The sequence below is a fragment of the Homo sapiens genome, chromosome 8, assembly GCF_000001405.40.
Source record: "Homo sapiens chromosome 8, GRCh38.p14 Primary Assembly".
Classification (NCBI taxonomy): Eukaryota; Metazoa; Chordata; class Mammalia; order Primates; family Hominidae; genus Homo; species Homo sapiens.
In genome coordinates, this window is record NC_000008.11 from 136,231,360 (window position 1) to 136,241,316 (window position 9,957).

Sequence of the window (9,957 nt, forward strand, 5' to 3'; positions counted from 1 at the left end):
CACCGATGCTAGTTTCTTTTGCTGTGTAGAAGCTGTTTAGTTTAATTAGATCCCATTTGTCAATTTTGGCTTTTGTTACAATTGCTTTTGGTGTTTTGTTCATGAAGTCTTTGCCTATGCCTATGTCCTGAATGGTATTGCCTAGGTTTTCTTCTAGGGTTTTTTATGGTTTTGGGTTTTACATTTAAGTCTTTAATCCATCTTGAATTAATTTTTGTATAAAATGTAAGGAAGAGGTCCAGTTTCAGTTTTCTGCATATAGCTAGCCAGCTTCCCAGCACCATTTATTAAATAGGGAATCTTTTCCCCATTTCTTGTTTTTGTCAGGTTTGTTGAAAATCAGATGGTGGTAAATGTGTGATGTTATTTCTGAGGTCTCTGTTCCATGCCATTCTTCTATATGTCTGTTTTGGTACCAGTACCATGCTGTTTTGGTTACTGTAGCCTTGTAGTATAGTTTGAAGTCAGGTAGTATGATGCCTCCAGCTTTGTTCTTTTTGCTTAGAATTGTCTTGGCTATATGGGCATTTTTTTTGTTTGTTTCATATGAAATTTAAAGTAGTTTTTTCTAATTCTGTGAAGAATGTCAGTGGTAGTTTGATGAGAATAACATTGAATCTATAAATTACTTTGGGCAGTATGGCCATTTTCATGATATTGATTCTTCCTATCCATGAAGATGAAATGTTTTTCCATTTTTTTATGTCCCCTCTTATTTCCTTGTGCAATGGTTTGTAGTTCTCCTTAAAGAGGTCCTTCACATCCCTTATAAGCTGTATTCCTAAGTATTTTATTCTCTTTGTAGCAATTGTGAATGGGAGTTCATTCATGATTTGGCTCTCTGCTTGTCTATATTCTTGGTGTATAGGAATGCTTATGATTTTTGCACATTGATGTTGTATCCTGCGATTTTGCTGAAGATGCTTATCTGCTTGAGGGGTTTTTGAGCTGAGACAATTGGGTTTTCTAAATATAGAATCATGTCATCTGCAAACAGAGACAATTTGACTTCCTCTCTTCCTATTTGAATGCCCTTTATTTCTTTCTCTTGCCTGATTGTCCTGGCCAGAACTTCCAATACTATGTTGAATAGGCGTGGTAAGAGAGGGCATCCTTGTCTCGTGCCTGTTTTCACAGGGAATGCTTCAAGCTTTTGCCCATTCAGTATGATATTAACTATGGGTTTGTCATAAATAGCTCTTATTATTTTGAGATATGTTCCCTCAATACCTAGTTTATTGAGAGTTTTTAGCCTGAAGGGCTGTTGAATTTTATCAAAGGCCTTTTCTGCATTGATTGAGATAATCATGTGGTTTTTGTCATTGGTTCTGTTTATGTGATGGATTACATTTATTGATTTGCATGTGTTGAACCAGCCTTGCATCCCAGGTATGAAGCTGACTTGATCATAATGGATAAGCTTTTTGATGTGCTGCTGGATTTGGTTTGCCAGTGTTTTATTGAGGATTTTTGCATTGATGCTCATCAGGGATATTGGCTTGAAGTTTTCTTTTTTTGTTGTGTCTCTGCCAGGTTTTGGTGTCAGGATGATGCTGGCCTCATAAAATGAGTTAGGGAGGAGTCCCTCCTTTTCAATTGTTTGGAATAGTTTCAGAAAGAATGGTACCTGCTCCTTTTTGTACCTCTTGTAGAATTCGGCTGTGAATCCGTCTAGTCCTGGGCTTTCTTTGTTGGTGGGTTATTAATTACTGTCTCAATTTCAGAACTTGTAATTGATTTATTCAGGGATTCGACTTCTTCCTGGTTTAGTTTTTGGAGGGTGTATATGTCCAGGAATTTATTCTTTTCTTTTAGAGTTTCTAGTTTATTTTCATAGAGGTGTTTATAGTATTCTCTGATCATGGTTTATATTTCTGTGGGGTCAGTGGTGATATCCCACTTATCATTTTTTATTGTGTCTATTTGATTCTTCCCTCTTTTCTTCTTTATTATTCTCACTAGTTGTCTATTTATTTAGTTCATTTATTAAAAAAAGAATCAGCTCCTGGATTCATTTAATTTTTGAAGGGCTTTTCGTGTCTCTGCTTTGCTGTTGTGTGGTGAATTCTCTCCAGTCCAAACCTCACAGTCTCCTTAGCACTGTCAGGGGAAAACTGCCTACTAAAGCCACAGTAGTTATAGTTGAACCTACCCCCACCAAACTCAATTGTCTCAGGACAACTCCACACTGCTGTGCTGGCAGTGAGAATTTCAAGCCAGTGGTTCTTAGCTTGCTGGACTCTGTGGGAGTGGGACCCACTGAGTGAGGACACTTGGCTCCCTGGCTTCAGCCCCCTTTCCAGGAGAGTGGACAGTTCTCCTGTCTTGCTGGAGTTCCAGGCACCACTGGAGTATGAAAAAAACTCCTGCAGCTCAGGGCCTGCCCAAACAGCTGCCCATTTTTGTGCTTGAAACCCAGGGCCCTGGTGGTGTAGGCTCACAAGGGAATCTCCAGATCCATGGATTGCAAAAATCCATGGGAAAAGCATAGTACCCTGGGCAGGTAGCACAGTCCCTCACCACTTCCCTTGTGAGAGAGGTCCCCGGGCTCTGTGCACTTCCTTGCACTTCCCAGGTGAAAAGATGCCCCATCCTGCTTCTGCTTATTCTCCATGGGTTGCACCCAATAAGACGAACAGTCTACCTCAGTTGGAAATGCGGAAATCACCCGTCTTATGCATTGGTCTTGCTGAGAACTGCAGACCGGAACTGTTTCTATTCAGCTATCTTGGCCTGGTGCTGACTCTTAAAGGCCAACAACCCTGCACCCACATAGGGAAAAATATGCTGCTTAATAAGTATTCTGAGTTCTGGAAATCAACTTTTCTTCATTTAGAATAGAGAATCCCAGCTCAGGAAACATATATGGACAGAAAGTCAGAAGGTGAGTGGAAAAAAAGAGATGGTCCTTTATATGGTTTGGCTGTGTCCCCATCCAAATCTCATCTTGAGTTGTAGCTCCCATAATTTCCATGTATTGTGAAAGGGACCCATTTGGAGATAACTGTATCATGGGGATGGGTCTTTCCCATGCTGTTCTCTTGATAGTGAATAAGTCTCACAAGATCTGATGGTTTTATAAAGGGGAGCTCTCTCTCGCACATGCTCTCTTGCCTGCTGCATTGTAAGATGTGACTTTGCTCCTCCTTTGCTTCCACCATGATTGTGAGGCTTCCCCAGCCATTTGGAACGGTTAGTCAACTAAACCTCTTTCCTTTATTAATTACCCAGTCTTAGACATGTCTTTATTCACAGAGTGAGAACAGACTAATATCTGGTAGAATTTTCATCCCTTACCTGATGGAATTTCTGAGAGGATTTTATAAATCAATATAGGCAAGACTCTTGGCTCAGTGTTGGGAAACATGACAGTTATTTAATAAAAAATAATACCATTCCCTTAACTTATATTGTCTTCAAGAAGCTGAGCCCCAGAGAGTCAAAGAATCCCAATGTTGGAAGATACCTTAGAAAGTATCTATTCCCACTTTCTACACCGTGCAAAACTCTCTGGAATCCCCGCCAGGACTAATGTTTTGTGAGGATAAGACTGGTGGAAGAGAGTGGGCTGGTTTATTTCACCCCCACCCCTGGTTTCCTGACATATGTTTCTTCACTGGAGAGGTTGAAAAGAGAAGAGCTGCAATACCTAGACACTCTTGCAGCTGAAGTTTCATGTAGGTCCAAGATCCTGCAAAGCAGATGCACACCTGTGACACCTGAAAGTTGAAGTGAGCAACCTGATCACCTACTCTGAGACAGCTCTGGTGACATTTCTGGTACCCAGTTGTAGAGTCAGTTGCCCAGGATGGCCGTGGGGGCAGTAGCATTTCTGCTAGACAAGCCCCATGGTGTGTGCAGAGGGTCGTGTCCTAGCTTCTTTATTAATGGCTGTATAACACCAATCCCAAGACATCTGATCCTCTCAGAGGCTCTGTGAGTGCTGTAATATAATAAATATTTCTTTTCCTGCTTGAGATAGCTAGATTGATTTTATTTTTTAAACAAAAGTCCTGATTAATACACTGTTCAAAAACTCTATGTTATCTAAACAATAAAATGTGATTTGGCAATGTGACAGTTAAGAATCTACATGAATTACACTCTGGGACATCTCTTGCCTCATGTCTCACCCCGATCCAGATCCTGTTCTTGCCTTTTATACTCTGCTTCAGAGTTTCATGAATATCCCCCATTCCATTTTGAGGAAGATTTGGGTTAGATAAATTAGCCTCTTATTGAGCTGACCCTGTGTCCTTAGACATTATACCAATTAGTTCTCTGTGTGTGTGTGTACAGAATCATTGGACACCTATGGTTTTCCAGTCATTTTTCTAGGCTTCAGGCTTAGAAGATCTCACTCATGTAGTTAGACTGAGTGTGAATAGGAAAGAGATAGTAAAGGTGTACATTTGAAATACATGATTTCATATAAATTATCTTTGAAATGCATCATCACAAGTGGGTTGTCAGGGAAAAAAATATCTTTGAGGGGGAATTGTTGGAATTAGAACCTGAGTTTTGACTAGGAGTCAGCTGTGAAAAACAAAGATGCAAACTCTGGAGAAAAATTCTAAGCAGAGTAAACAGCAAAGGCAAAGACCTTGAGGAAGAGCAAATCTCAGTGTCTATGAGAACTCAAAGGATGGTCCATGCATGTGCAAGCTAGTGAGTAAGGGGGAGAGTGGTAAGAGCTGTGTTTGGAGATGGAGGGAAGTTGCAGCACTGTAGCACAGGTGAGCAGTGAGAATTTAAATTCCGATACCCCAAATCTCCTTCTCACATGACAATGCTCCAAATTTTGAAGATCCCAATCAAAGTGGGCTTGGGACACCCTCACAAAGCATGGTAGAGGTGATTAGGGAGCTGACTGAGCAGGCATGGTGCCACTCCAAGCACTATGGAAGGCTAGAGATGTTTGCTTCTGTAGGAGTCACTCCACCAGAAATGAAACTTGCTGGTTACTCATCTCTGCTAGAAACATTTTGTTTAATTTCTTTCTAAAGCCATTTTAAAGGGTCTGCAACAGATTTACCTCCTTGCTTTGATGCACAAGAAAAGCTTAACTGCATTATTTTCCTCTTCTTGCTCTCTATTCCCCTCCTCTTTCTCTTCACTCTCTTGCTGCCCTCCTCTTCATCACTAGCTACCTCTGCACGTCTTCTTCTGCTTGTGTTATATCTAACATTCACAGCTACTTTTGCAAGGAGTGTAAAACTATTCCCATTTTATAGTTAAGAAAACTGAGTCTTAGTGAAGCTAAGTATTATGCAAATTAGTATAGTTGGTAAGTGGTGGAGTCAAGATGTAAACCCACTACCCTTCTGATTTCAAAGTCTGAGATGTTTTCTGTATTTCATCATGTCATGCTGTCTTTTACTCAAGAGACTGCACATATTACTCCTTCTGCTTTATCACCTTTAATCTCTCTACATTTTATTATTTCTTACTGATCTGTCAAAACGCAGCTTAACATCACCACTTCTTAAAAGCTTTCAGTAAGTTCACTTACCTGCTAGATTTGTTCAGGTGTCCCTCTACGTGGTCATTCATAGCTGCCCATGTATGTGTGGCCTCAGCCTCTCAAAGCACATGTAACATCTTACTGTATTCATCAATTTACTTATCTGCCTCTCCTACATGACTGTGAGTTCTTTGAAGGCAATGACTGTGCCCTTAATCTCCGTACCCAACGTCCTACATTTTTTGTTTTCTCAATCTCTATTGAGCAAATATATTCTCTAGAATTTGGAGAGGTAATGGAGAGAGAAGCCTCAAGATGTCTAAAGGAATGATTCAGCTATGGTTTTCTATTCACATCAGTCATCTTTTGTTATCAAAGTGCTGAATAATAAATTATCTCAAAACACAATGAATTAAAACAATAATTATTTATTCTTGCTCATGAATCTGTTACTCCAAGCTTTTTCCAGGTGTCCGTCATTCTTTGGGGATCAGGGACCACCAGGCCATGTTCTTTTCATGGTAATTGCGGAAGCACAGGAGGGAAATCATCTCTCAAGCCTTTGATCATGTTGTGTTTGGTAACATTCCATCAGCTAAAGCAAGTTACCGGGGCCAGTTCCAGCACTGATGGGAGCATTGTCTACCTACAATGGGAAGGAGAGGAGAATGAGGCTTTGCTTTATAATATTCCAAGTGAATGAACAAATGTAAAATTAGCTAATCAACTTACACTTAATTAAAGTCAGATCTAGCATAAAACACATTGGGATCTTCTCTGGTGAGAGTTGCTCTCTGTCTGGTATGTTGGGAACAAACTTACACCTGGAATAGAGTAATAAGTGACAGGGAATCACTAGGAAGCACTTACACTGAGCACCTGCTAGGTTGCAGAACCTGTATAAGAATTGTAAATACAGAAAACCTAGTGGCCAAGATCTGTCCTCAAGGACTCCCAGACTGAAAGGGAAGACAGGAATGTAAATTAACCAGGTCTATGCTGTACAATAACTTCCTACTAAAACAATGCTCAAGATTCCAGGAAAAAGAGGGAGGAGAAAAAATTCTGATTATGCCTCAGGGAAGATTTCCTGAATAAGGCAAAGTCAAAAGAGAATAAATCTAAGTACCCTTTCTAATTTATTGTAAGAACTACACAGGTTATTTATTTTTCTCCAAATCCTCAGTTCTTATCTGACAAGTAGCACAGAATATGCCTTCAGTGCATGGTGGTTATAAGACTGGTGGATGAGGGCGGGCACGGTGGCTCACGCCTGTAATCGCATAACTTTGGGAGGCCAAGGCAAGTGGATCACCTGAGATCGGGAGTTTGAGACCAGCCTGAACAATATGGAGAAATCCCATCTCTACTAAAAATACAAAATTAGCTGGGCATGGTGGCCCATGATGATAATCCCAGCTACTTGGGAGGCTAAGGCAGGAGAATTGCTTGAACCCAGGAGGCGGAGTTTGTGGTGAGCCGAGATCTCGCCATTGCACTCCAGCCTGGGCAACGAGAGCAAAACTCCCACTCAAAAAAATAAAAAAAATAAAAAAAGACTGGTGGATGACAAAATACTTCAGACTGCCTGTGAACTATCAACATAATGCTCATGTTTCCTTCTCCTTTTACAGATGATGAAACTGAAACCCAGATGGCTAATGTAACTGTAAAGATCACACAAATATTTTATGATGTTGCTGTAAGCAGAACCTAGGTCTTGTGGCTCCCAGTCCAGTGATTTCATGCTAAAAATTGCATGAAAATTACCTGACTCTAGTTTTCCATGGAATAAAAAAAAAATTATACAGCTGGGAGCTGTGTAGCTCCGTGAGTGCAACATAGTATCCACCCTGCAAATGTTTGTTGAATTGAATGGAGTTAAAAATTGGAAAGATTCATAAAGAAAGATTCTCTCTTCTAGTCCAGCCCTTCATTTTGCCAAGATAGGGAAAGTGAGTGCAGGAACTGGGGAATGACTTTGCCAAGGTTGCGGGGGGCTTACCCGCTACCATGTGATGGTGAGAACCGGAGCTCTTTGCTTCTCTGCCCAACACCCCCTTCCTTTCATTGTCATTGGAGTGCGAATGAGGTCCTGTAAACTGTGTCTGTGGGTAAAGAGGTGTGACATTGTTTAAAGTCATTTCCTTGTAAGCTCAGTCGCAAGCAGGCAAGTAGGGAAAGACAGTAATTCAAGTTGTCAGGGCCCTTAGAAACCTGCCCTAAGGTGTTGTGTTCATAATGGAAAGAATTGAAACGCTTGAATATGGTTATTCTTGGGCCTATTCTGAAACCAAGAGTGTGTATCCTCAGCAGGCTTAATGCAGACAATTACAGTTAAACCCACGCTTCCAGATAAGCTAAATTTCCAGGACCTTGTAAATAACTCTTTGTTCCCTGTCTCCTCGTGCTGGGTCCTGTCGGTACAAGCAGGAGACAAACAAAACAACTGCAAACTCTTTATTCCTTTCCATCCTCTCTAGTAATTCCATCTTCCCAATCTTTACATCTCAGTTGTAACTTCAGGGGGCACATACAACACTCCCCAAATTCTCTAATAATGTAGAGACACCCTGAGCCACTCATTCTATGTTTTCTTGCCCCACAAACTTATTTTGTTTGCAAAGGACTTTCCAAGGACAAGGACAAGGACACATTAATCAATAGCAGGTCCTAATGGACTCATTTATGACTGCAGCTATCCACATAGGGAGGAAGAAAGAGAATCACACATAGGAAGAGGCTATATCTTCTCTCCCTCTTTGTACAGAGTCTTAGTGTGCCCTTTACTGTCTTTCAATCCTTCCTTGATCCATATTGGTGTTCTTCTAGAAAGAGGAGAGAAAGAAAATAGATTACACCAACATTGAACTCATTCCTCATTTTTAACACTGTATAAGTATAAAGTTTTATTTACAAATTAGCATGTCTGCAAGGAGCCAGTGTTCATCCAGTCTGATCTTTTCATTTTCTGATGAGAAAACTGAGTTCTAGAAAGAATGAATGGCTTGTCCCTAGTCATCCTATGAAAATGATTCAGAGCAATATTAGATCTCAGGGTTTTTGTGTCCCAGGGCTATTTGCCCCACACCTAACTGATGTATGACTTCCCTAGATTATCTTCAGAACATTAATGAAATTGTGGATTTAAACACATGGAACTTCTGTAGCTATTCTTACAGAGCAATTTAATTACACACACTAAACTTTTTCCATTTTAAGCATAGTGCTTATTTCACCCCAAAAGTCACTGGATCATCTGATTATTCATAAGCCAGGCAAGCTAAATTTCTCATAAGCCATGCCTCTGAGAAACTTGTAATTTTGTTCTCCAAAGGTATCTCCAACATAAAGAGATTTGAGTCCATGGAAGGATGTTGAATCCATGGTCCAAAGACTCTGGATAGGAGCAGTGCCAAGCGAGCTGCTCACTTTGGAATTGCCTCCTGGTTCTCCTGGATTTAGCCTGTGCTCTGTGATTGGTAGGTGCTCAACCCTGAATTTCTTGTTGTGGACACTGAGCAAGGTATTGAATGACTTGGCTTCTCAATTCCCTCATCTGAAGCTTGGAGATAATGATAGCCCTTCAGTGGTTTGACACAGTGGTTTTTAACTATCTGCCCATCTTCCCTACTGTTAATTTTTAAAGGCAGAAGTTTTGCCAATTCATTTTTATCACACTACCCACTGGCATAGCCTTACAAAAGGCAAGAGTTTATATCCATTTACAAATTGGGATTATAATAGAAACTGCTTTCTGCTAGTTTAATAAAATTAAGGCATTAATTACAAATGTTAGGGCTATTTCATGCAACCTGGGGGCAGAAATGGGACTGGGCTTTAGGTTAGCAGGAATGCCAGGCTGCCCAAGAGGGCAGTGATTATGAAAAGAATGATTTCCAGCCAGCTTCTGCTCATTTTCTGGGCATCAGGATTACCTCTACTCCTTTGTAACTTTCTCCTCTACTGCGGCAGGGATGCTCGAGTTTTTCTTGCTCCTACTCCCCTTCTTCTTGATCTTTGCTCTGTGTTTTTTGATCTCCTCAAGATCAAGGTTTCCGGTCATGATTCTACTTCCCACCAGTAGGGAGAGTGAGTCACAAACCAAGCTGGTCAGAGTCTACGGCACTAACTGTCCTCTGTTTTCTAGGGGTAAAGATTCCAAGGACATTAACAGGTTAGCCCAGGTCTGTGCAGTCTAAAAGCAGGCTTGACTATTTCTCTTTCTCTCATTCTTTTCAGGATTCCTTTTGCATGCATTTAAGAGAGGATACTTGAGGCTTCTCTAGCTTGGTGATTTGTGCATGTTCTCTGTCGCCTCCTCCCTCCATCCTTCAACGCTTGCTGCTGGGTCCAAGTCTGCTGTCTCAGACGACCAGGTCTGGAGCAGACAGCTCCAGTCAACTCATTTGATGCAACAGGATAAATTCTCTGGTTGCCCTCCCACCTGTGAGGAACACAGGCACCAGCAGATGTTCTCTGACTTCGACTTT

At 40.9% G+C, this 9,957-nt stretch overlaps 1 long non-coding RNA gene across 1 annotated transcript; it reads right to left on the minus strand.

Annotated features, from left to right (window-relative positions):
- Window positions 1–5,876: 5,876 nt before the first annotated feature.
- LOC105375775 (uncharacterized) lies at window positions 5,877–7,679 on the minus strand. The gene is made up of 3 exons (XR_928694.3): window positions 7,470–7,679; window positions 6,197–6,288; window positions 5,877–6,110 (listed from the first exon to the last, which is right to left on the minus strand). It is a non-coding gene; the product is annotated as an uncharacterized LOC105375775 (long non-coding RNA).
- Window positions 7,680–9,957: the final 2,278 nt, after the last annotated feature.